Source organism: Homo sapiens, chromosome 10 (assembly GCF_000001405.40).
Source record: "Homo sapiens chromosome 10, GRCh38.p14 Primary Assembly".
Classification (NCBI taxonomy): Eukaryota; Metazoa; Chordata; class Mammalia; order Primates; family Hominidae; genus Homo; species Homo sapiens.
This window is the reverse complement of record NC_000010.11, coordinates 84,490,678-84,518,629: the sequence shown is the minus strand read 5'-3', so window position 1 is coordinate 84,518,629 and position 27,952 is coordinate 84,490,678. Positions and strand designations below refer to the sequence as shown.

General features: G+C 36.6%; 1 protein-coding gene across 14 annotated transcripts in view, besides 2 other annotated features; it reads right to left on the bottom strand.

Moving 5' to 3' along the window:
* Window positions 1-112: 112 nt before the first annotated feature.
* Window positions 113-27,952, bottom strand: part of CCSER2 (coiled-coil serine rich protein 2) — a 189,929-nt gene continuing 162,089 nt past the window's right edge. For 9 of the 14 annotated variants that reach the window (NM_001284240.2, XM_017016341.2, XM_017016340.3 and 6 more), the window contains one exon: window positions 113-5,181. In NM_001284240.2, the coding sequence (NP_001271169.1) occupies window positions 4,363-5,181 (819 nt within the window). In that variant the 3' untranslated portion in view covers window positions 113-4,362. Of the gene's footprint in view, window positions 5,182-11,296; window positions 11,337-18,622; window positions 18,756-27,952 lie in introns of all 14 variants that reach the window. The other 5 variants (NM_018999.4, NM_001284243.2, NM_001351290.2 and 2 more) reach the window with 4 other exon arrangements.
* Window positions 4,048-4,217: an enhancer, noted in NCBI's record as "experimental_17686 CRE fragment used in MPRA reporter constructs". NCBI's record gives its function as "activates a minimal promoter by MPRAs in K562 erythroleukemia cells, with activity observed for the introgressed 10:86274254 variant allele {active_cell/tissue: K562}" and the evidence as "EXISTENCE:reporter gene assay evidence [ECO:0000049][PMID:34662402]".
* Window positions 5,951-6,151: a silencer, noted in NCBI's record as "peak1039 fragment used in MPRA reporter construct". NCBI's record gives its function as "represses an SCP1 promoter by STARR-seq MPRAs in K562 erythroleukemia cells {active_cell/tissue: K562}" and the evidence as "EXISTENCE:reporter gene assay evidence [ECO:0000049][PMID:32103011]".

Sequence of the window (27,952 nt, the reverse complement as noted above, 5' to 3'; positions counted from 1 at the left end):
TCAGAGTTGGGAAAAACATAAGCAAATGAACAGTATCTTAGATCTTTGTGGGAAAAAAGATATCAAAGAAAAAGCAAACTATGGGAGTCAATGTTGAGAAAGACAAGAGAACTTTTATAATTATGAACTTTATTTTTATTTACTATGCCAACATTTTCAGGAGAGACTTTACATCTGCTTTTTAGAATTCATTTTACAGGCAAATTCTAATATACAGTTTGTACTCTAAACTGACTTAAAATCAATGGGAAAAACAATACTGCAGATATTATTTTTGCTCTTTGTTAGTAATGACTTAGAGACCTTACATTCTCGGGTATTATTTTGTTAAGTAAACGCTTTACCAAGGAGAAAGTGGGTAAGCTTATTCCCAACAAGATTAAAACATGTATCTTCAGTTAATGACATAGTTGTAGATTGGTGCCCACCATCAGAATCATTTAATCAAAAGTACTCTCTCAAATTGCTGCAGCAAAAACTTAAAGGGAGATGTGAAAAATCACTAGAAAATAGAATTCAAGCATCAGAATTTAAAAAGGAACAAGGCCATCATCCCCAAGGAAAAACATCGGGTAGTACAGCTATAATTAATTTTCAAATGTGTGCTTAAGCATGCAAACATAACCACCCAAACGAATTTAAAAACACAAAAACTACTGGGTAAGATGGAAAGTAAATTGAAATGGTGCTGCAGCCTTATTGATCTTAATTGCAAGCCTGTTCGGTGATTTCAAAGTACATCCCCAGTGCCCTAGAGACCAGGAAACCAGTATGACAACTCTGCTCAGAAACCAAGAGTGCACCTCAGTGTCTGTAACACCATTTATGCTACAGGAACATTTGGAAGTGACAGCTGTAGGGGGATCACGCTCTCTCTGATGTACTGAGAAAAAAGTAAAATACTTATCGGAACAATGGAACATTCAAAGAAAACTTAGTGCTTTAATGGAAAAGTGACATGCTGGGAATATATTTCTGTGAACAGCTGTACTGATATCTTCAAACAGCAACAATTACAAATTTATTTCAACAAAGCCACACCCAATAGGAGGCAATTCGATATTTCAGGCACAACTTCAAGCAATTAAGCTCATTTAAAGTGCAAATCTGATATTTTCTTTCATATTCAGATTTTTACTTGTTAAAGTACTTAGTAAATTCTAATATATATATAAATACAATGAACAGTAGCCTATATGCCTGAAAATATTGCACAAATAAAAATGAGACTCCAAAAGAAAAATGTTAGATGGTCTCAGTTATTAGAAACAGTCTAAATGACATAACTCTATAATCCTTTAATGCCTTAAAATCATCTGCACCTGTACCAATAAACTCCTTAGGCCAAGCCTTCTTTTAAAAATTTGATATGCATCCCATTAACAGCCAAATATCAAAGTCTGAATACTCTACTAATTTCCTCTTTCACGAATGTGAAACTTAACAAACCCCATAAAATTTCTTCCTCAGGACTTAGAATTCATATACTGTAACTATCTTCATTGATACCACTAGAACTAAGACAATAAATGGTTTGTGGAGGAGGATTTGGCACAGAGTTGATTTACATTAATAGAAGCAATAAACACAGATCAAGCCAAATCTAAGATGATCTTTGATTATTCAGTAGAGTTACATCCTCACTTCCATTTCAGACTTAACATTTACTAAGAAGCAGACAAGCATGATATTCTTGCAGTTTTTAATGAAAACTGCAGGCAAATACTTTATGTCATGCAAGCATCCTAGATTTGTTTTCTTTTAATATATTATGCTTCATAAATATACGATAAGCCTATCTTCTAAAAGATTAAGACTCAACAAAGGTAGAGAAAAGTTGAGCTAATTGGTTAACATTTCTGCAAATCCATCAGGGAAGGAAAAAATAGAGAAAAATGGAGTAAATACATGGAGGAAAAAATAGAGAAAAATAAATTACTGGAGTCAACATTTTTATGTAATGGACAATAAAGACATTTCCCTCAGACTAGGGAATTAAAAATAAATTTAAAAATTTAGAACTTTTCCCTTAAGGATAAGGCCAACTCGTAAATAATGTTTCATAAGGGTCTAAACCAACTTCTAAATAAACCAAAAACCACTAAGTCACTGGTTTTACTTTAGGGGAATATAGTATGATTCACATATTTGCAACATGTGAGAACGGTTTTCTTTCTCCTTCAAAATGATAGAACATGTATGCCCACTTACAACTGCAGCCATCATGGGTCATCTCCATAACAAAGTGCTTTGCTGATTTGCCTGACTCTAACAGTATCTGGACTATGTGAAGAACGTTCTGAACTTCACTGCTTCTCCATCAGAAGTGCTGGTACATAAGAGTATGGTACAAGATTTGTCTTGCTCACCTCTTACCAAATCCAAGAATGGTTTCTATCCAGTGAATGGCAAATTCATCTGATAGGTAAGGGAATAATGGGTCAAAATGGTAGCAAACACTTCTTTCAAATTTCTACTAAAAGACTTGCTGTTGTTTTTCTTATAAAGGGGCAATTTCATCAACATACATCTTTTAAAGGAATCTCTAGAAATTTGAGTGACTTTTTGGCCATAATCCTGTTTGATATATTTTTGGTCAGCTGCTCAAAACAAACATTCTCCTTGTAAGGTTATCTATCTGAAAGATACTAATTCATTTAAAGCAGCTGCAGGTGAACAACCTAAAGATGACATGATTTGGGAGAAGAGGAAGGCAGATTTACTGAACTGACAAGTGACCCAAAGCATAATTAGGTTTGTGCACATGGTAGCATGGAGGTTCCACACCTACCTTCTACAGCGTATTAAAATAAGAATATTGTCTTTGAAACATCTTCTAGCACCTTTTTAATAAAACAAAATTTCCCATCTTCAATTCTATTTTTTTCCCAAATCTACCTTTAAAAAATTGTCTTTCAAAAATACACCATAGACGAGGTGGGTGGATCACTTGAGGTCAGGAGTTCGAGACCAGCCTGACCAACAAGGTGAAATCTCATCTCTACTAAAAATACAAAAAAATTAGCCAGGCATGGTGGCACATGCCTGTAGTCCCAGCTACTCAGGAGGCTGAGGCAGGAGAATCGCTTGAACCCGGGAGGCAGAAGTTGCAGTGAGCCGAGATTGCGCCACTGTAATCCAGCCTGGGCAATGGAGCAAGACTCTGTCTCAAAAAACAAACAGAAAAAAACAAAAAACACAGAAAAGGGAAACCTAGGAGACTGGAGATGGGGGAGGGGGAGAATATTATGAACTCCAGCTTTCTCAAGATAGTCTTATTTAAATTTGTTATTTTTCTCAAAATATTTTAACTTGTTTTGCTATAGAAAATAGTTTACAATCCCTATATATGGTATATTTATACCCCATCAAAGTTTTGTGCAAATGTTTCAAGTTCATTATTTCAGTCTTCAGATATTAGCAGAAAATCAATAAATATAAATATTACAATTAAAGACATAATGCTGTGGAACCTTAAAATGGCTATCATGGATCCACAAGCCTAAGGGTTCAAGCCTGAATTACCAGCAAAACTCTAGCACCAACATATGTTACAAATGAATACATCTTTAGGTACAGGTTTCAAGGTGTATCTCAAGCGCTCCAAAATTTACCCAGTAACAAATACAAACATAAATGGTATGTGTGTGTATATGTGTGTGTGCATGCACATGTGTTTGTAAAACAAGATGTAAAGGAATATATAACTGATTTATATGTAATAAGAAACACTTTCAGTCTGGGGAATTTGGGAAATGAATCAACAGTAACATTAGCTGACTGACCCTGGCAAGGAAAAATAAAACTTACATAGACTTTCCATTAAAAGCCTAATCTCCTTTATTCATCACAAAGCTTTTGCATAGACCTTTTAAATATACAAAACACTGGCCAGAACTCTGCTTACAGACTACCATCTTCCATTATCACCATATCTTTAGTTAAAATAGTAGCCATATTCACAGGAGAGACAAGTGAAAAGGGGTGAGGTTCTGACAACCACAATAAATACAGACCTTAATAGGACTAAACCAGCAAAGCACACTTCTTGCCTGCTCAGTAAAATATTATGAATTTTCTGACGTGGAGAGGGATGGATAACATGATTTGGGCCTTTGGCAGGCCTCTGAAATGGGTAAGCAAACTTTCGTGTTTACCTGAGATAATTATGCTCAAATGGCATGTACTTCAACCAGGATATAAAATGAAGGAGCCAAACTAGTAGAAGCTTCCACATTTTAATTTAAGATTTGCAGGCTTTCAATGGAACCTCCACCACAGTAGCAAGCTGCAAGCTGCACATAAAGCTATTACAGAAGAGATTGTTTTTAAGAAACAAATTGGCAGGTGATGGCTATGTACTTAATGTATCTTTGGTTTAGGAAGACGAGAATATCGATTAGAGGCCAAACAATCCCCAGAATGCAAATTGCCATTTGGATTCTGCATGATTTCTTTTCGTTGTGTTAGTGGCCTTGGGATGCTTGTCTTGGCCTGGAAGCTTTGAGGCTCTAGTTGGGGGCTGTTTGTTTGTTTTTGTTTGAAAGAGCCTGAGGGGGGGCGGAGCTTAGATGCTTTCAGATTCTGATTATTTGCAAGATTTGTTTGACTAGATGTTGGCTGAAGTTTTGCTGAATTACATGTTGTGATTATTGGTGACTTTTTACAAGTGGGAGTCCTACTTGGAGATGATTCAGAAACTGGAGGCGGTACCAAAGAACTCAATATGGATGGCTTTAAAAGCTGCAAGGACTTGGGCTGAGACATATAACCCACTGGCGGAGACTGATTTCTTCCAACTCTCTTAGCCTGGTCTACTGTACTTGACTCGGGAGGTGTCTGAAGAGAAGTGGGTATAAACTGCATGTCACTAATTTGATTGTTTGCCAAATGATAAGGCTCTTGAGCATTTACAGTAATGTTTAAGTTTGCTTCAGAAGGTGTACTCTTAGCCACATCCATTGTTAATTGTGGGCCTGATGAAAAAGGCTGCTCTTCCAAACCATAGTTGCTTTCTTGGTGCAAGACGTGTGTAAAGCTTTCTTCCGGATGTGCACCGCCCTGATGCATGTCTTGGATTGAGCATTCACTGCGGGCCTCGATACGTTGTGGCTTTATTAGTTTTCCCTGGGTGTGATCTGTGGGTCTGGGAAGGCTGCTGGAAGGCTGTAGTACTTGAGGCTGTTAAAATTAAAAACAACATTAGCAGCAAGTTCTTAGAAATTCCACCCAGATTTAATATAAATACCAATTAGGCTGTGTTGGTACTTATTATGGCTTTAATATGGAAAATATGTGGAGTTTCTTTTAATTAAAAAATGAACTGCAATATTCAAGCAAATTAGACACATACAAGAGTGATAATGCAAACAAAAAATGATACAGGCAGTAAACACTGAACAAGATCCAAAATTAAATGAGAAAAAGAAAACATTAAAGTACTAATTTATTATAGAAAAAATTCCTGCCATAATAGATTCATTAGGTATTTTAAACCTTAGAGCTTGACAGAATGATTCTACAGCTTTTGGTTTAACCTCCACAAAACATTCAGGTGTTAACGGTGACCTTCGGAATACTACTTACATTAAAGTTAAAAAAAAAAGTTGTACACCATGTTAACAAGTGTTGTTCTTCTGTCAAGAATGAAAAGCACCAGCAGATAAACAAGATTTAGAGTAAATCACTATATTCTCAGTTTATGTGAAATTCTATTTATTTAACAAATATAGGTCGAGACATTTAGCTAATGCTAACCTATTTTTAATATTCTTGTTGAAAAGTTTCCAAATAAAATGTTTCAAAGTTTATTTGTTCTGTCTCACTCCTATTATGGCTGACATGTGAAAAACAGATCTACCCTAATGAAAAGTAAACATTCATTTACTTAAATTTAGAATAATCAGCCTTTTGAATGATGGCTCAGAGTAAAACAAATGTGAAGTTGCCTCTAACTGCAACTAAAGAACAGAAGCCTATGACAAGGTTCTTAGGGTCTGTGTGCCTCACATGTACTTCCCTGAAGCTCATTGTGTAGTTATGTTTCAAAAACAATCAGAGGAACTATGCCATTTCCATGATTTGGGGGTATCCAGTAAAAAATACAAATCTGAAAGCTATCTTTCAATGGCCCAAATAGTTAAAATATATGGGCAGGGCCAACTGGGCCTGTCCTGATACAGGGGTATTTGCTACAAATGCATTATCTCTCTCCTCTCTCTCTCTCTCTCTCTCACACACACACACACACACACACACACACTGTTTAAATAATGTGGGCTAAAATGTCAAAAACTTTGGCAAAGGGCTTTACAACATGAAATTCAGAGGGCCATTTCTCACTAATAAGTTTTTTTTGCTATGCTAATCCACAAATAAATCTACATAGTAGCTCTAATTTCCCCAATAGAAGGGGCGGATCTATTTATACTGCATCATTTGTGTTTTTTTCAGTTCTTCCACCTCCCTGACCAGCACTGGACAATGGCTGCCCAGGATCAGCAGCCAGGGATTAGATTATGGCTGGATTGGGAGTGACTGAGGGCAAGGCTCATCAACTCATGGAGGATGGTTGGCTATGATGGCATACAGCTGACTTGCATTAAAAAAAAATCAAGACAGTGACTACTCAAAATTAATCTGTACAGAAATATGTCACATCAAATCGTATTGCAGAATGTTTGAAATAAACAAGTCAGCTCAATTGCTGCCTCAAGCTAAATATCCCAGACTTTAAAGTCACTGGGTATTTTCACAGCACATCAACACAAAAATGAATGAACTGTCCCGCAAAACGGAAGATACTAAAATCACCACATAATTAAATCAACAGATTCTCCCTGGGGTTCCCTAGATAAAAATGACCGTGCCAAAGTGATCAAAAACCTTGAAAGATTAGTGAAAAAATAGAGCAGGACCATATTAAACAAACCAAAATCTACCAAAGGGAATAAAAAGTAATTAGGAAGGAGGCACGATCAATTGGTTGGTTGAATGGGGATTTGTTTTTCCTTTTCACCCTCAAACATGGTAAGATATTCTAGTTCCAAGTTAAAACTCTTAAAGCAATTTAAGACTTCTGAAAATATCAGTGACAATTTAAAAATGGACTTTATTGTAATATGTCTATTGCCAATAAGAAAAAAGGTATAAACATGTGCTATCAGTGAAAAGCATAAAAAGATGATTTTTCAATTAAGACAGGTAATAAACTGATTATTAAGACAACCTACCTCCAGAAATGCCCAGGAAAGGGCCATTGTGCACTATAAATTTGTACTGTTTTGTACTCACCACTTGTACTGTTTTGATTACTCACAGTACCCAACTGACCACTGCTTATCAGAGAAATAAACGGAAATACAGCAGAGTCAGAAAGACAAGCTACTTGTATTAAATGCAATAAAGCTTCATATCAAATATTAATGAATTAGAAAACATCCAGTTTTTAAAGAATAACAAAATGTTGAGTCAACCGAGAGGAATTTAACAGTTTTATAAATAAATGTCTAAACTACAAGTTAGACATCTATACTACTAGTGAATTACATTAACTAAATCAGTGGTTTCTATATGCGAAATAAAATTTTATATTTTTATTAAAAATTAATTTTTGTGGCATGATATAATTTCCCTATCCCCAAATCAGTGTCTTGCTTTATTATTTATTTGGTAACTATATTTGGAAAATCAATTCCACTACTGTAAAAACAAAAAGTCTCTTTCACGAGGAATAAGAAACACCTATAATGTGAGGAACAAGGAAACAACTTGCTCCTGGTATGTGGAAGACTACATGGAAGTGGTTACCCACTAAGGACTGGATTGCCGCTAATTACCCCTGCTAGCAAGTTGAACAACAAGCTACCTCTTAACCTCTAGCAAGCAAGGCAGAGATGTGTTCTGATGGCTTGTTGCTACAATTTCCCCAAATACTAAACATTCAACTGTGTTCATATAAATGCCAGATGTTAATTCATCTTGCTCACATCCACTGCTGCTTCTATGGTCATTAAAAGGATGCCCTCAGACATTTTTAGAATGTAAATATAAAAAGATCCCATATCCTCATGGCTAAGACAAATAGGAATGAATATCAAAAAGCATACACTTTTTAAATGTTTATTATGTATCATGTACTGTACTAGGAGTGAGAAAATCTGGAGCTGAACATAACTTTGTTCCTGTGCTTGAGGAGCTTAGTGAGGGAGACAATAAGGTAAAGGAATGGTGAGATCATGTCTTAAGCGTAACAACATATGGGAACAAAAAGAAAACATGCCTGCCTGGAGAGGTCACAGGAGGCATTCCAGAACCGCGAACAATCTGCCCTGAGTTTTAACAGGGTGAATAGGAGTTTATCAAATAAACAAGAAGGGAAGAATATTCTGTGTAATGAGCTAGTACATGCCAAACACAGAGGCAAAAAAAGAACATGCCATGTTCTGGTCACTTCAAATTTTAGACTGAATTTGAAAGGATAGTGCAAAAGCATAGCTAAGGGCCAGCTCCTAGGACTCATGTCAGGCTAAGTAGCTATGACTTTGTGCTGTAGATGATGGGAGATATAGATGAATTTTAAGAAGAGGAATCAGAATATCTAATGTGTGTGTTTTAGAATGATCACTCCAGTGGAACCAGTGAGGAATGTAACCAGTGGGGACGAAATTGTCAGAAAAACCATATCACAAGCTATTTGGCATAAAATCTGGAGAGGACTGAAAAAGATTTGAAGGGGACAGGCAAGATGAGGTATTGGCTTGTATCCAAAAAAGGCCTTTGGGAAGGCTTTCCGCTAATCGATGGATTTCATAGCCTCGGAAGCCCACAAAACCTAGAGGGCAAAAGGAATCCCCCCACTACGAAAGATCTCATATCTTAACTACTCCCTATAGTCACAAATGAGTAAAACTTTAATCCTGAAACTTGTGGAGGGCTTGGTTACTGAAGCATCAAAATGAGGACCTATCCCCAGACTTACAGAGCTAAGTGCCTCTAACTGAACTCAGCAACTTCAAGTCTTACTTTAGTTATACATGTAAACTTCAGCACACCATTCTGATAATTCTCAGATTAAAGAGTTCCATGCGTCAAGTTCAATAATGTCAGCAATAGGCACTACAGGGGGGTTGTGCAAAGGCTTGGTAGACATCTTTAATGATAATTGTAAATGTCTATTTTAGGCTGCTTTACAAAGATAGCCAAAGACTTGGAGCTCCTTTCAGGCATGTACCATGCTTTATTCATTTTTCGTTATAGTTGGTATTTCTATTATTTGGCACAAAGTAGGGATTAAATATACATTTGCTAGATAAATGAATAAGTGAATAAATAAATATTAGTGGTATATTCAAGAATTACTTATTTGGCCAAGAATTACCAAAGTGATTTAGGTCAATGATGAAGCATTAATGATTAAATAAAAACTAGTTTCAAAAAATAAACACTGATGAAAAATAATCTAATAGGAAAAAACAATTGTTCCCTCCAAATAAGTCTGGTTAGCTTAATGATTCATGTTTAGAAGGATAGCAGGAAATACTGACTGCATGTTATACACAAGCATGTTATACATAAGTACCTCTCATAATGACCTTTTAAAATCTTAGCCACCAAATGTTTTTTATCTGAAGACTAGAAATAGGTTGGGGAAAGTATCTTAACAAGCATTCAGCTACTAGAAAATTCTAATAATTAAATATGACAACATATGTAAAACATTTAGCATAGGACTTCCTAGCACATAGTATGTCCTCAATAAATTTCTTCTATGATTATTAAAGCATATAAGAATGATGAGTTCAAGTCATAGCTATTTTGTAACTGGGTCTTCGAAACAAAAGCAAGTTCTTTAGCAATATAATAATAAACTAGAATATGAGGTTGCTAGGCTTCAAATACATAGTTCAATAATGTCAACACTATCTATAAGTTTTGAATCCACATCAAGCATATTTAATATGACACAGAAGTCAAGGATCTTTAACTGCCTTCCTGGAGATAAGAACCAGAGCAAAGACATGCAAGTTTAGAGAGAACTTTCTTCTCTCTACAAAGGAGGTAGTACAACACAATACTGAGTCACTTAGCTTTTACAATCAGGCTGATCTGAGTTTGAATCCTGGCTCTATCACTTATAGATCTATCACTGAGGTGAGATATTGGGTAAAAATAATCCCACTACCCTGAAATGGAATTTCATAATTTACAAAATGAGGGTAATACCAGTATATATACTTCATGGAATTGTTGCAAATAATAACCAGTAACAGTACAATGCCTGACACATAAACACCTGAGAAATGTCATACTCTGGGCTCTTAGAGAACAGCGTTCCCTTCTTTCCAAGGGTATAGATTCAAACTCTTGAGTCTGCATGCATGATCTCTAGTTACCATGAGACCCCTAGGTGAAACATACTGTTCTTTTCTTTCTATAAATGAGTAAACTGGGGTTAAAAAATGTTAACGTGTTCAAATTCAAACATTTTGGCAAGTGGCAAAGCCAGAATTTGAACCATCAGATAATTTCTTAAAATACAGCACTAAAATTTAATATTCTGTGCAATTTGGTTAGTTCTGATGAGTTCACAGGCTTTCAGAATATACAGTATAACCAGATGATTATTTTAATATATTTTAAAACACTACAGGCAGATATAATACCAATATTAAGGAACTAACTTTCCTGGATAATGTCCTATTTCCTTCTTAGATGATCTAGCCTACCCAGGATAACTTTCAGATACTAAACTCAAGCCACAGTGTGGAGCAGTATTTCTGGAAAGAGGTGATTCCACAGTGACCCATTGGGGGAAACATAATGAACATGAAAAAAGGCAAAGTAGTACCCACCAATGAGCAAAACAGTTCACCTTTACTGTTTTACGACACTTCAAAGATCTACAGCATTAGCATACGGAAAAGCACTCATGCCAGTTTTCATAAGCATTCTTGTTCTAGGGTTATTAGCAAAAGATGGCAGCTAAAATGTCAAGTCCTGATGGAGTAAAAATATGTCAAAGTGCACCAAATAGAAAGCAGGAAATGTTCTAAAGTGTAATAATGCTACTGCATAACAGACACAGAATTTAGCTAATTTTTTTCCTGGGTACATACAAGTTTATTGTTATTATTAAATACATTTTAACCATAAAAAGGAAGGTGGAAATAGAGCCATCTGTAACATGCCTGTACTTTCATGCAGGCTCTGACATGCATCATGCAAACTGGAAAAAAAAACCAAAAAAAGTGATTATGAGGAAGGTGGTAGGAAAAAATCCGAAATTGTACTGTACCACGCTTTGTCAGAGAAGTAATGGACTAACTTCTCAACTCCTTGCCAATGGCATAATGGGAGAGCAGAGACAAGAAAAAGACAGGACAATGGCATCAGAGACCACACACAACACCAAGGATTGCCATGACTGGGTGGCAGCCACAAGTATTTGCTTTGCTATTGTTGTGTTTTCCTAGGCATTATTCATTATTTCATTTAATATATTTGTACATAACAAAAACATTAAATAGATTTATACTTTCTTACTAAAGTAATTTGCGAGTTAGTACAAATACTCATAACCTCAGAAAGGCATGTGTAAAACTTCTCACACACACTTAAGAGGAATCACTTGAAGACTCTTACCAAACAAAATATTGAAAGTAATTCTGATAAAATTTAATATTCATACTCCAAATACCTAAAAAGTTTTAGTCCCAAGTAACCTCTTATGAAGGAGGTAGAAATGAATTTTTAAGTAATTTCAGAGGCTTCTGCATATTATAAGATTAAATAAGTGTTAGATTTATTTATTTATTTATTTATTTATTTATTTTTGAGATGGAGTCTTGCACTATTGCCCAGGCTGGAGTGCAGTAGTGCAATCTTGGCTCAATGCAGCCTCCACCTCCCAGGTTCAAGCGATTCTCCTTGCCTCAGCCTCCCAAGTAGATGGTATTACAGGCGCCTGCCACCATGCCCGGCTAATTTTTTTGTATTTTTAGTAGAGACGGGGTTTCACTATGTTGGCCAGACTGGTCTCGAACTCCTGACTTTGTGATCCACCCACCTTGGCCTCCCAAAGTGCTGGGATCACAGGCGTGAGCCACCACGCCCGGCCAGTTTAATTATTGCCATTGAAGACCACTAAAGGTATAATCTGATCTTAACCTGAATATGATGCAAATTATAAGTGAGGCTCTGCACATCAGTATAGAAAGACTTAATTTGTATCCCTAATACTGTATTACAACTAGATTTAAAGACTTTCGCTTTAGAGATCACATGAAGCCAATCACAGCTTCCAGTGCTTTTTGGGAAAAAGGAATGCTCTTATTCCTCTGTATCTCAAAATGGTGCCTCTAGACCTCAGAAAATTTAGAGGATAGCAGATTGATAATATAAATTGTTTAAAAATAATTTCTGAAATAAAGAGTTCAATGGCTTTTCTAAGTTGATGACCAGTTAACGGGTTTGGTTTTTTTTTTTTTAAGTATCAAAGTGATTAAGAGGGACTTAAGTAAGCATTTACTACAGAGGCACAATCACTCTTAGATGATTAATTTCGTGGGTCTATATCTCAAAGACACAGAATCCATTAACATCTACCTCTCAGATGATGTAGAGTAGTTCAGGAAAAAAAACCTAAATGGCATCATAATAGTACAGTTCCATTGATGTGATCAATAGACACAGTATATTTATCCAGAGTACAAGAATACTGTAAGCATTATGGTACAGAAAAAAGACTGGCTAAAAAAAATCCCACAAGCTGCAAAGCAGATTGTAATAAAAGGCTTTATACAGAAACCACTAACGCTGCACTTCTCATAATTCCAAGAAACTAACCCATGCCTACGTTTGTGGAAGGCCTATTGGACCATGAGTTAGATGCACATTTCTAGTCATTTAACCAATGACTATACTAGATAGTCCTTGAAATTGGCTGCGAAAAGGTACAAAATACCATATTTGATGTTAACCATATTTAAATTAAAAATGAGCATACACGAAATTGAATTAGTAAAGTTTTTTTACTGAGTTACTCTAGTTTGCATTTCATTCAAAAATATTTTATTTTTATGAAAAGTCACTCCCAGAGCTAATTTCTAAGGAAGCTGAAGCTATTCTTATGTATAAAATTGATTATAGTCACACATTAGAGTCAATCAGATTGAGCCTTGTTAATTTATACATTATGAGCATGTTTGACAATTCAACAATTGTCAAATACACATTTGACACATCAAGTGGCCTTAGAAAGTGTATACCCTTTAATTAAATGATATCCTTCCAGGAAATCTAAGAAAAGAGAGACACTGACACTGATTTATACACAAAGATAAACTGCTTACCAATATTCCTCTCTGTAACTAGAAACGACATTAATGCCCAATAGAAAAAAATTAATTTAGAATATATCCACATAATGCATTATCAAGTGGCCATTAAAATGTTAATTTCAAGAAATATTTACCATATAAAAATGTGTGTATATATATAAAATGATACTATGTGAAAAAAGCAGAACGACTGAAAATACATAAATTCAACTTTATAACATAATATTTAAAAGACTGAAAGGAAATATACCAAAATGTTTCTTCTAATTCCTCCATAATGAGTCACTACATTACTATTATAAATAGGACAAATGTACATTTTGAAGGAAGAGTCATTGTATTTACAAAAAATATTTAAGGTTCAGACTCTGGAAGTAGAACAGAATTTAATTATGGTTTGTTCACTTACCCTGAGCAAATTACTACATCATTTATTGATTTATTTATGATTTATTTGCATCTTCCTTATTATAAAATTGGAATAATATCTCTGGCTCTGAGTTGTTGTGAGAATCAAATAATTTAAATGAAATGCCCAGAAAAGTACTTAAGACATTAAAACACATAATAGGTATTCAATTAATATTAGTCTTTTCCCCTTTCTTAAAATGTATGGCTAAATTTTTAAAAATATACATAAGAGTTTCCTATAGGAATATTTGTGAAAGTGTAATTTTTAAGTAGCTCTTAGAAAGATTATCCAACTGTATGAATTTCAAGAGAACAATTCTCCAGCCAAAAGGACTAAAAGAATAAGTACAGTGAATTACTAAACTGAGACAGTGCAGTCGAGGATAAGCAGGCAAATGGCAAAGGTGGGCATTCAGTAAGATCAACGTTTTGGTTAAACTGAGGAAAAGCTGGCTCTTACAAAGGGCTCATCAGCCATTTAAGCCACTCTATTAATATTCAACAATAAACATTTTTTCCTGCCATAGACAATTCTTAGGAGGCACCACTTAAAAACAGTATTTCTGCAAAAAAAAAAAAAAGCTTTACTTTGATTATACACACAAAATCTATGCACATTAAATTATCTACACTTCTTAGCCTTCATATTTAAAGTCAGTATATTAAAACCTAAATGCTCATATTTATATGGGCAAAATAGACCAATGTTTTTTAACTGCAGGTTGCTAGCAACATTTAAAAAAACAGAATAGAGAGAAAAAATATGAGAGGATCAAATATTTTAAGAGAAAGTATTGTCCCATGAATCTTTTATCAGAATTTTAAATATACATACACAGTGAATCAGGTTGTTGTAAATACATACTTTCTCTCAGTAAATGTATACTGGGCTGTCATGTAAAATAAATTTATAATCACTGCATGTCAAAAATGTTTGTGAAACACCCCCTGAAATTTGTAAGAGAAAGAAGATGTAAGACAATATAAATTTGTCATTCTTAATATAATTATGGTGGACACAACACTACATCAAGAAACTGTCAGGCTATTACGACAAATATAGATGCATTTATGTAATTTTTATTGTTTTAAAAGAACTTTTTCCCTTCGCATTAAGTCACTGCACATGGAAGGTAAAAATAAATAGGATTTCTAAATTTATCAAGCCAGGTACTAAAGAGCAAGTTTTAAAAGCTTAGTTAGACACAGTAAGAAATAGGTATTATTTCGAAACATACTTTTTGAAAAGTCAAGTATTCCTGTAAGTACATGCTCTGGCAAGAAATGCTATTTGGAATTACCAGGAAGGCTTTCTATTTGCCAAAAACAATTATTTTTATTAAATTTTCCTACTCTGAGGTAGGTTATTTATTACTCCCAATTTTACACAGTTGGAAATTAGAGTAGAAAGACTACACCAATGCCAGTTAAGTGAATTTGTACAAAAGCTCAAATCCCTACTAACAGCAGGAAAGACCTAAATGTAGATATTTTCTGCTAACCTAGAGAAAATTTAATTTGAAATAAAAAAGTATCATGAAGTAGAGACTAGTAATATACTTAAGAAATGTAAGTCAAAATTTCCTGAGAAGGAAAAATAATAAAGGCCAGAACCTTCCATTTATCTCTATTTTCCTATATTCTTTTTTTTTGAGACAGAGTCTCACTCTGTTGCCCAGGCCGGAGTACAGTGGTGCGATCTGGCTCACGGCAAGCTCCGCCTCATGGGTTCACGCCATTCTCCTGCCTCAGCCTCCAGAGTAGCTAACTGGGACTACAGGCACCCGCCACCACGCCCCGCTAATTTTTCGTATTTTTAGTAGAGATGCGGTTTCACCGTGTTAACCAGGATGGTCTCGATCTCCTGACCTCGTGATCCGCCTGCCTCGGCCCCACAAAGTGCTGGGATTACAGGCGTGAGCCACCGCGCCTCGCCTATTTTCCTATATTCTTCAACGCAGTTTGAACACTGCTGGCCACTACAGCTTTCTAGAGTGACGAGGGCTAAATACTCCCTGTAAACATTAATTATCTCACTCTGCATATTTAGAACGGACTATCTTCATACTAGAAGGTCTACTATACTTCCGTAACTTAAAAAACAACAAACTGCTGTTACTGAAGACTCACAGCCAAGCTTTACCTCGCCTCCCCATTTAGAGGATAAAGGCAGTTCCCTCAAGCTGATGTTCAAGAAGTCATCAAAGAGGCCGAGCGTGGTGGCTCACGCCTGTAATCCCAGCACTTTGGGAGGCCCAGCCAGGTAGATCACAAGGTCAGAAGTTTGAAACCACCCTGGCTAACACGGTGAAACCTCGTCTCTACTAAAAATACAAAAAATTAGATGGGCGTAGTGGCAGGCGCCTGTAGTCCCAGCTACTTGGGAGGCTGAGGCAGGAGAATGGCGTGAACCCGGGAGGCGGAGCTTGCAGTGAGCTGAGATCTGGCCACTGCACTCCAGCCTGGGCAACAGAGCAAGACTCTTGTCTCAAAAAAAAAAAAAAAAAAAAAGAAGTCATCAAAGAACTTTTTAATGAAACATTATACTGGAGAAATCTCTCAACTATCTTCTTAAGCACAATCAACCTCTCCAAACATGAGTACTAGGACCCACATATTGATTAAATGTGGAGACAAGTATCATCTGACTACAAGTTTAGTATAGGAAAAGAAGAGATCTGTTTCAAAACCCTCTGGAAAACCACTAGATTTATTCTAATAATTTCATACCTTTCTTTTCTATATTTTATAACTAAAAAAAAACCCTTTATTAGTAAACTGCTTTAGCTGTTCTCAGGGTGAATTCAAAATAGAGTAGTAGTTTAGAGCATATTTCCCCTCTAAAGGAACCTTTCAAGCTCATTAATAGTTATTAAAAGGCTGTGAACAGGCCCTCTGGTCATTACTTCGCACAAACAGGGACCTACAAGTCTCAAAGATCAAATCCTAGGGCCAGTGCTTTTAGATGCACAGGCCGTGAGAACCTACTCAGGAAAAGACTCATATATATATATATGAGTATATATATATATATATATATATATTTTTTTTTTTTTCCCTAGATGACTAATACATCCAAACTCTGGAGAACCAAAACTTTCTTTTTGTTAATCTGAAGATGCAAAGAAGTTTTGATCTAGAAAGGTTTAAAAAAAAAAAAAAGCAGGTCTTACTAGTATTGTAGGAATTGTAGGATAGTGCTGCTTCACAGTTGGAAACAAAAAGGAAAGCTCTGAACCCAAGAAGGAAGGAGAAGAAGCACTTGAAAATGGAGAGCCACTGAATCAAGGAAAAGACAAGAAAATTCTAATGCTATACAAATAAACCAATGAAATGGGTATTTCTGATAAACATGTTTTTAAAAGTAAAGCTGAAACTCTATTTGTAATACAGAATAATTAATCCCAAACTTCAATTCCGTATTACAGCTAGCTGAGGAGAAGGAGAAAGGGGGAGGAACATGGTGACAAAAAAGGATACAGGCTAAAAGGGGGCTTGAGTAAGTACACAGGTGGGTGTGCTAATCTGAGGGGAAATCTCAAACCTTGCTGTTTACTGGCCACAAGCCTAAGAACATATAATTTGTTGTATCTGCCCTTTGAAATTTCAGATGACTTGACTAGCATTTTAGTATGATTCTTTTTGTGCTGGGATTATTTAAATAGAGGAGAAAAGAAAGCAACTTACTTGAAGACGAGAGAAGTGAAAAGGAGGAGTTACCAAGGTGGTGGGAGAAGGAGGAGTTACCAAGGTGGTGGGAGATAGAAAAGGAGGAGGACAAAAAAACTCCTTTTCTCATTGCTTCCAGTAAACAAACGAACTTGCTACTAAAGAACATCACATAAAAGCCTACAGAAACGATTTTTCTTTAAAACAAAAAGTACAGAAGGGAAGGAGAGGTGTAGCAGCCAAAAAATAAACTTCATGCCTTCTCTGGAATTCATGTCGATACCTCATAATTTTGGCTAATTCAAGAAATAAAATTTTCTTTAAATAAATCACATTCCTAATTGCTTAAAATTTCCTCCTTTGACACCTTTGATACTTCACATGGAAATGGATAATGAAAAAATTGAATGAATCACAAATCATGATAAATCCTTGGAGAAGGCATAAAAATACCTCTGATTGACTGTATTTACACTTCATTTTCATTAATAATAGCTTTTTATGGGTGACTTTTCAAAAAAGATAAAATATAACCAACTTACCAGGCATACTTAAGTACATAAAACAAAATAACCCACACTGTTTTGGAAAAGAGATTTAACATAAACAAAAATTTTAAGGTCAAACAGTAACTAAATCATTAGAAATGTTAGTAAACCATGCATATTCAAAAGCCATTTCTTCTGTGCTGTAAAGCTGATAAATTACAAAAACATCTTAGTTGTTTTAAACCACTTTTAGAAAAAACAATTAGAAATATCTTTATTTTAGATGACAGTGAAATGCAATCCAAGCCCTTAATTAGGAAATATTATTTAAAGAAATGTGCAATGGTCTAGTAAGCCTGCTCCCCACACATTATGCATCTGTCCATCATACCATTGTAGATCACATGTACACTTTTTAAAACAATTAGATAACACAACAATTTTTATTCACATATTTCAAGGTTTTGAAAATGCATTAAAGACAGATGCATGTCAGTAGGTCTAGGGTCACTGGCAATAGGTTTAAACAGTATTAGAATGAAATTAACCTCAGACAGCTTCCATAAGGCTCTAAGTAGAGGTCTGTTTACATGCAGTAAAAGGAAGTGTTAAGAGAGGAGACCACAGAGAGTGCTGCTTTAGCAGATGCCTGCAGAGCACTCAGGATAGAAAAGGAGGTGCTGGGGAGGAACAGGTCATGCAGAAGGGAAATACCATGAAGGGGAAGCCAGAGCAGGATAGGAGTGAGAGACACAGACTCACTCTGTCTGCGGTGCGGTGGAACAGTCCGTGGGATCCCCTGGAAGGAGCCCTGCCAAGGAGAGAAGGAGGGAGCAGAATACCCACCCTGTGCAGAGAGAGATGGGGTAGGGAGGTATAATAAAAAAGGGAACCAAAAAATAGAGAAACCAAGTCATACTTTGTTTTACTTTTAAATAACACAGAGCAATAGTGTTAACGAGAAGACAGATTTCATTTTTTTAAAATACAGGCAGCTCAAATTACTAAAAATACATCATAATCCAAACCTAGTTATTTTTAATATTTTTTTAAAAAATTATTTTCCTCTAATATTTGTAGTACAATGTACAAGAAATAATATATTCTTTCCGGTATACATTACATTTATCATCATATATCTCTTGTTAAAGTAGCAGATTCCAGTCTTTTGCAGAAAAAGAAGGAATTTAAAGGGGGAGATAGACTTTAGGTGTTAAACACACAGAAAATGCACCAATTTGTGAATCAGGCAATACAAAAAAATTATCATCTAAAAATTTTTATTTCGGCCGGGTGCAGTGGGCTCACGCATGTAATCCCAGCACTTTGGGAGGATGAGGCGGGTGGATCACGAGGTCAGGAGTTGAAGACCAGCCTGGCCAAAATGGTGAAACCCTGTCTTTACTAAAACTACAAAAATTAGCCAGGTGTGGTGGCAGCCACCTGTAAAACCAGTTACTCGGGAGGCTAAGGCAGGAGAATTGCTTGAACCTGGGAGGTGGAGGTTGCAGTGAGCCGAGATGACGCCACTGCATTCCAGCCTGGGCAACAGAGCAAGACTCCGTCTCAAAAAAAAATAAAATTTCTTCTTAAATCACAGGTTTTCAGAGGATTAGCAGGTAAAAATAAAGAACATTAGCTAAAGTTAGCAAAACCAACACAGCATTAAAAAAGATTCAGGATGTTGTAATGTGACATGTAGGCCACTGGTTACGTGGACATGCTTTTTAATTTCAATAACTTGTGGCTTTTTAGCTTTACTTATTTTAATCACAGATTATCAGAACTACGATACTCCTGAAATGTCATTTACTTCAATGTCCTCACTTTACAGAAAAAACTTTTTTCAAGAAAGTAACTGTTCAATGTTATACAAAGGGAACCATATTGGGTCTTATGTCCTTAGCCTCCTTACTGACTGAAACATATGCACAAAAAAATCTACTGAAACACTCTTAAAATATCATTAAGGAAAATCAGCCTATAAATCATGATCATACCCAGTTAAATCTGCAAAAGAAATTATGTATATTTTTTCAGACCAATTAATCTGACTTAAAAATAATATTGTATTAAAAATTACGATAATAGTTTAACAGTGTTTACAGATCTTATGAAGGGTCTGAAATGAAAAAAATTTTTCTCACTTTCCGTATCAACATTCTTTGACTCAGGTATAATCAAATACTTCTTTAAATTTAAGGGTGATCCCACATTGTTCAATATAAAACAGAAACATAAAAGATCCATTTTCTATGTTGATGAAGGGAAAAAAAAAAGCCACAAAAACTAAATTAACAATCTTTAGGATATTCTAGTAAATAAAAATCTTATCTTTTGAAATTATTATACTTTTTTCTTTTGCTAATTTGGCAAAAACAGCTTAGAAAACATTGAATAAGGTGATGACCCCAGATGCTCTCCATAGATACTACCTGCTGTTATGCTGTTTGTGAAATGTTTTGGTTCAAAGGCTATATTTATACTAAACAAATTCTCAACCAAATCCTCCCTATGCGTTTTGCAGAACCAAGCTTCTACCCACTGTACTACTAAGTAAAGAAACTTTCAGATGGTAACTTCATAGACATGTTTAAGAAAACAGTCATTGTTTCCTTCACCAAAGAGGTATGTTTACCTTTGCAGGTCTGTGGAAATAGCACTGACCTTGGAATCAGGGAAACTTTTTTTCCTTGGATCTTTCCCAAGCCTTGTAACCTTGAGAAAATTACTGATTTTTGAGCCTCAGTTTCCTTATTTGTCAGATGCAGAGGCTGGACTGGTTCATCTCGAAGAACCCTCTTACTTTTAGTTCCTATAATTTAGTTACTCATATCTGTCCCCATCTCCACTCCAGTAATTTTATAACTCTATTTTTAATTTTGTAACTCTATTTATATGGCATTTAAAACAATCAACTTTGTATTAAATTGTCTCTCCTGCTAGATCATTAATTCCTGAAATAATTTAGGTGAAAGTATCTGTCACAGTACCTATAAGTTCGCAGGAGTTTTAAAAGATATTAGATGTCCCACCTTCTATAGCCTAAAACTCCCCCAGCATGTAGCAGACACTAAGTTAACTATTTACTGATTTAAACAAAATTAAATTAATTTACTGTGTTTATCTAGAGATGCAGCTGTAGCATCTGTCAATCCCGGCCACACACTATAACCACCTAAGAAATTTTAAAACCAAAAACAATGATATCTGTCTTTATTTCCCCAAGACCAACAAATCATAATCTCTGGCATAGGTCTGAGTATAAGAAGGGAAAGACAACCTTGTGAAATAAATACATAAACAGCGCTGCCTGCCACCGCCAAGGGGCACCCATCTATTAGCCTATCAAACAGTTGTATGCCATCAGAGCTTATGCCCAGAAAGACAAAGAATGTTACTCATTTTATTTCTGCCACCTACAATGCGTCTTCCACTTCTCTACCCATCTGTCAAAATCTTATCCAGCCCCCTTAGGTTCTTTCAAACCCATTTCCTAAAAGCTTTTCCTGATCCTGCCTAAATTAATTATGATCATTCTTGTTTATAAACACCCACAGCAATTGGTGGAATCTTTCTTCCTCTTTTCATTACTTTGATTTGAGTATCTTAAAAATTCTTCTATTAAATATAACCACCCTGAAAATAATAGCTCTCTTACTTTCCTTGGTGTCAACTACTTAGCTTCTTGTCAATTTACTTATAGAGAGTAGAAATAACATACTCTGATCAGCATTTAATAGAACAGGGAATTCCAGTTTCAGGAAAAGATGGAGTAGACATACTTCTCCCTTTTCCTGCTGTCAAATACAGCTAAAAACCCTGGGCACTATATATAAAACACAATATTCTGAAAGGTAGAGAGAAAAAGTGAGACCAGCTTGGGACCCAAGGAAAAATATGGTGATTTTCTTTTTGCCTAATGTATCCTAAAATGAGTGATAGAGAAGCCAGCCCCTGGAAATGACAAGGAACACACACAAAAAAAAAATTTAAGAAAGCCTGCACACTCTAGCCAAAGGATCAGGAAAGAGGAAGACTAGCAATGCAGGAAACTTGTATCCAGTAATCTACCTAACACCACAGAAAAACCTGTGGCCCCAGCCCCCATTCCCATCAGAAAGGGAGGACTGGGAAGGCCGGGCGCGGTGGCTCATGCCTGTAATCCCAGCACTTTGGGAGGCCGAGGCGGGCAGATCACGAGGTCAGGAGATCCAGACCATCCTGGCTAACATGGTGAAACCCCATCTCTACTAAAAATACAAAAAATTAGCCGGGCGTGGTGGCGGGCGCCTGTAGTCCCAGCTACTTGGGAGGCTGAGGCAGGAGAACAGCATGAACCCAGGAGGCGGAGCTTGCTGTGAGCCGAGATCACCCCACTGCACTCCAGCCTGGGCGACAGAGCGAGACTCCGTCTCAAAAAAGAAAAAAGAAAGGGAGGACTGGGGAGTGTAGGCCTCCACCCTTGTATGGCTGTGACATTTTCTTATGTACTTCTTAAAATACGCATAAAAAATATTTAAGAAACTTATAAATGGGAGAGGAAAAGGGACTTAAAAGGACATAAAGTTTCTACATGTAGTAGACTATATATAGTTAAATATATATGTATGTGTGTGTGAAATATAATGCCTACAGCAACAACTAAAACATTATTATAAAGACATAAACTCAAAACACTATATATAAATAAAAATAGAATTATTAAAAAACTAATATACAGAAAAGAAAAAACAGAAATAAAGAAAAAAGAAAAAAATAAAATGGCAGACTTACATAGCAAAAATTACATTAAATATAAAGGGCTGAAATATACCCATTAAAAGACAGATTGGTAGATTCATGGCCTAACTATATGCAGATTACAGGAAATTCATGTTAGGTATAAAAATATATATATTTTAAAATAAAAGATGAAAACGATATACCACGCCAAAAAAAAAAAACAAAAGAAATTTGATGTGCTTATATTATTATCAAATAGACTTCAGAGCAAAAAGAATACCCACATATAGAAAGAGACCTCACAAAATGATAAAAAGGTTAATCTACCAAGAAGACACAGTGATCCTAACAGCACACCAAACTGCAGAAACGTATAGTAGCTGAAGCATAATCTCATAAAACTGAGAGAATCGCCAAATCTACAATTACAGTTGGAGAGCTCAACACCCCATCCCAACAACTGATAAAAATAACTAGACAAGAAAATCAGCAATGACATAAAACTCAAGGACACCACTAACAACAGCACCTAGTCAATGCTTACAGAATATTCTATCCAACAATAGCAAAAAGCAATCTTTTCAAGAATCCACAGAACATTTACCAAGACAGACCATAGTTTGGGCCACAAGACAAACCACAACAAAGTTAAAATATTGAAATTATACAGAATGTGTTCTCTGACCACAATGGGATCAAATTAGAAATCAATAACAGAAAGATGACAAGAATATGTCCAAACACTTGGATACTAACATTCATACCCCTAAGTTATCCATGGGTCAGTCAGAGAGGAAGTCTCAAGAGAAAAAAAAAAAAAACCATATCAAACTGAATGCAAAAGAAAATACATAATGTATAGGAAACAGCTGAAAAAATATATAATATGTAGGAAACAGCTGAAGTAGAGACAGAAAAGAGAAAAAAATTCCATCAATAAGCTAAACTGATGTCTTAAGAAACTAGAGAAAATAAGACCAAAATAAACCCAAAGTAAGAAGAAAGAAAAAAAAAAAAAAGCAGACATCAGCAGTTTTGTGGTGTAACCATTCTTTTGTTTCTTTACTTCTCTAATAAACTCATTTTCACTTTACTCTGTGGACTCACCCAAAATTTCCTGTGTGAGATCCAAGAACCCTCTCTTGGGGTCTGGATCAGACCCCTTTCCGGTAATATATTCCATAACGAACCATGAACAGATAATACTTTGGTCTCCCAAATATCGCCTTTTGTCAGGACTCAGAGTTATGAATGGCTTTCACCACATAGCTGCTTTATGACTGCGCTTCACTCTACCTTGAATACAAGAGACCCTACAAGTTAGGAAGGAATATCATCACCCCTATTAAGCCAAAGGATACTACAGAAGATGGATCTTGGTCCCTCTACAACCTTTAGGATTAAGGGTCCCCTTGTAAAGGGGAGGGGGAAATAGAAGCATTTGAATCAGAGCAATTCCATCTTGAACAGGGGCTGGGTAAAATGAGGATAAGACCAGCTGGACTACATTCCCAGGAGGTTAGGCATTCTCAGTCACCGGATGAGTCACTGGATGAGAAGGTTGGCATTAAGATAACAGTTCACAAAGACCCTGCCGATAAAACATGTTGCAGTAAAGAAGCTGGCCAAAACCCACCACAACCAAGATGGCAATGAAAGTGACCTCTGGTCATCCTTACTGCTCATTATATGCTAATTATAATAAATTAACATGCCAAAAGACACTCCCACCAGCACCTGACAGTTCACAAATGCCATCGGAATGTCTGGAAGTTACCCTACATCATGGGTCTCCAACCCCTGGGCCACGGACCAGTACCAATCCATGGGCTATTAGCAACCTGACAACACAGCAGGAGGTGAGCAGCAGGCCAGTTGAGTTGAAGCTTCATCTGTATTTACAGCTACTGCCCACTGCTTGCATTATCACCTGAACTCTGCCTCCAGTAAGATCAGCAGCAGCATTAGATTCTCACAGAAGCAGGAACTTTATTGTGAACTGCACATGCGAGAAATCTAGGTTGCTTGCTCCTTATGATAATCTAATGCCAGATAATCTGTCACTGTCTCCCATCACCCCCAGACAGGACCATCTAGCTGCATAAAAATAAGCTCAGGGCTCCCACTGATTCCACATTATGGTGAGTTGTATAATTATTTCATTATATATTACAATGTAATCATAATAGAAATAAAGTGCACAATAAATGTAATGCACTTGAATCATCCTGAAACCATCCACACTGCTCCCACAACCCTCTCCCCATCTGTGGAAAAGTTGTCTTCCATGAAACCAGTCCCTGATGTCAAAAAGGTTGGGGACTGCTGCCCTATATAGTTTAAAAGGAAGAGAAACCTAAAGTTTTGGGAAATTCTCGTTCCTTTCTCGGAAAACTCATGAATAATCCACCCCTTGCTTAGCATATGATTGAGAAATAACCATTAAAAATAGCCAACTAGCAGCCCTCAGGGCTCTGTCTATGGAGTAACAATTCTTTTGTTTCTTTACTTCTCTAATAAACTCACTTTCACTATAAAAGAGCAGGATCCTTGAAATTGAACATAGAAAAACAGAGAAAATCAAGAAAACAAAATGTTGGTTCTTTGAAAAGATCTGTAAAATTGACAAACCACTAGCAAGACTGACAAAGAAAAAGAGAGAAGGTAAATTACCAAAATCAGAATGAAATAAGGAATATCACTACAGACCCTCCAGCCATTAAGGTAATAAAGGAATATTATGAACAACTTTACAGTCATATATTTGACAACTGAGAAAAAGGGCCAATTCCTCAAAACCACAAACTATCAAAATTCATCCAAGATGAAAGAAGTCATTTGAATAGGTCAATAACTATTAAAGAAGTTGAATTTATAACTTTAAAACTCCCAAAAAAGAAATCTCCAGGCCCAGATAATTTTACTGCTAAATTCTACTAAATGTTTAAAGAAGAATTAAACATTAATTCTACACTATCTCTTCCATAAAGCAGACGAGAAGAAAACACCTTCCAAAGTATTTATGAGGCCAGGTTTAACTTAATACAAAAGCAGACAAAGACAGTACAACAAAAGAAAAATAAAGAATAAAAAGCATTAACCCCCAGAATACAGATGTAAAAATCTTTAACAAAATACTACTAACTAGAATTCAGGAATATATAAAAAGAACTACATACCATGACTAAAGGGGGTTTATTTCAGGCCTATGAGATTAGTTTACTATTAGAAAATCAATCAGTGCAATCAACAGGCTAAAGAAGAAAACTCATAGGTTCATAGCAATTACCAAAACAAAAGTAACAAAATCCAACTCATATTCATGATAAAAACTCTTAGCAATCTAGGAATAGAGGGAAACTACTTCAACTTGATAAAAACCATCTCCCAAATATCGATAGCTAACATCTACCCAAAGGTGAAAGACTGAATGCTTTTTCCCCTTAGATTAGGAAAAAGGCAAGAATGCCCATTCTCATAATTCTTATTCAACATAGTAATGAAAATCCAAGCTGGTGACATAATGCAAAGAAGGGAAATAAAAGACATCAGATCAAAAAGTGAGAACACTGTTACTATTTACAGATGACATAATGGTCAACATAGAAAACCCCAAACTACAGAAAAACTCTCCAAACTTATAAGTGAGTTTACTAAGTTCACAAAATACAAGGTCAATATACAGAAATCAATTTTATTTCTTTTTTTTTTTTTTTGGAGACAGAGTCTCGTTCTGCCACCCAGGCTGGAGTGCAGTGGCGCTATCTCTGCTCACTGCAATTATCCACCTCCCGGGATAATGCCATTCTCCTGCCTCAGCCTCCTGAATAGCTGGGACTACAGGTGCCCGCCACCATGCCTGGATAATATTTTGTATTTTTAGTAGAGACAGAGTTTCATTGTGTTAGCCAGGATGGTCTCCATCTCCTGACCTCGTGATCCGCCCACTTCAGCCTCTCAAAGTGCTGGGATTACAGGCATGAGCCACCGCACATGGCCCAGAAATCAATTTTTTTTCTAAGTATCAGCAATCAGCACAGGGAAAGTGAAATTTAACGAACAGTATCACTTATAACCACCCCAGAAAGAAATCTAAGAAAGCATGTAGATTACACCAAAGAAGATGGCCGAATAGGAACAGCTCCAGTCTACAGCTCCCAGCGTGAGCAACCCAGAAGAGGGGTGATTTCTGCATTTCCAACTGAGGTACCAGTTTCATCTCACTGGGGCTTGTTGGACAGTGGGGACAGGACAGTGTATGCAGCCCACAGAGTGTGAGTGGAAGCAGGGCGAGGCATCCCCTCACCCGGGAAGCACAAGGGGTCAAGGAATTCCCTTTCTTAGCCAAGGGAAGGGGTGACAGACGGATCCTGGAAAATCAGGTCACTCCCACTCTAATACTGCACTTTTCCAACAGTCTTAGCAAACGGCACACCAGGAAATTATATCCTGTGCCTGGCTCGGAGGGTCCCACGCCCATGGATCCTCCCTCATTGCTAGCACAGCAGTCTGAGATTGAACTGCAAGGTGGCAGCAAGGCTGGGGGAGGGGTGTCTGCCATTGCTGAGGCTTGAGTAGGTAAAGAAAGTGGCCGGGAAGCTCGAACTGGGTGGAGCCCACCTCAGCTCAAGGAGGCCTGCCTGCCTCTGTAGACTCCACCTCTGGGGGCAGGGCACAGCCAAACAAAAGGCAGCAGAAACCTCTGCAGACTTAAATGTCCCTGTCTGATAGCTTTGAAGAGAGTAGTGGTTCTCCCAGCATGGGGTTTGAGATCTGAGAATGGACAGACTGCCTCCTCAAGTGGGTCCCTGACTTCCAAGTAGCCTAACTGGGAGGCACCCCCCAGTAGGGGCAGACTGAAAACTCACACGGCTGGGTACCCATCTGAGACGAAGCTTCCAGAGGAATGATCAGGCAGAAACATTTGCTGTTCAGCAATATTCGCTGTTCTGCAGCCTCCGCTGCTGATACCCAGGCAAACAGGGTCTGGAGTGGACCTCCAGCAAATTCCAACAGACCTGCAGCTGAGGGTCCTGACTATTAGAAGGAAAACTAACAAACAGAAAGGACATCCACACCAAAATCCCATCTGTCGGTCACCATCATCAAAGACCAAAGGTAGATAAAACCACAAAGATGGGGAAAAAACAGAGCAGAAAAGCTGAAAATTCTAAAAATCAGAGCACCTCTCCCCCTCCAAAGGAACGCAGCTCCTCGCCAGCAATGGAACAAAGCTGGACGGAGAATGACTTCGACAAGTTGAGAGAAGAAGGCTTCAGAAGATCAAACTTCTTCAAACTAAAGGAGGAAGTTCGAACC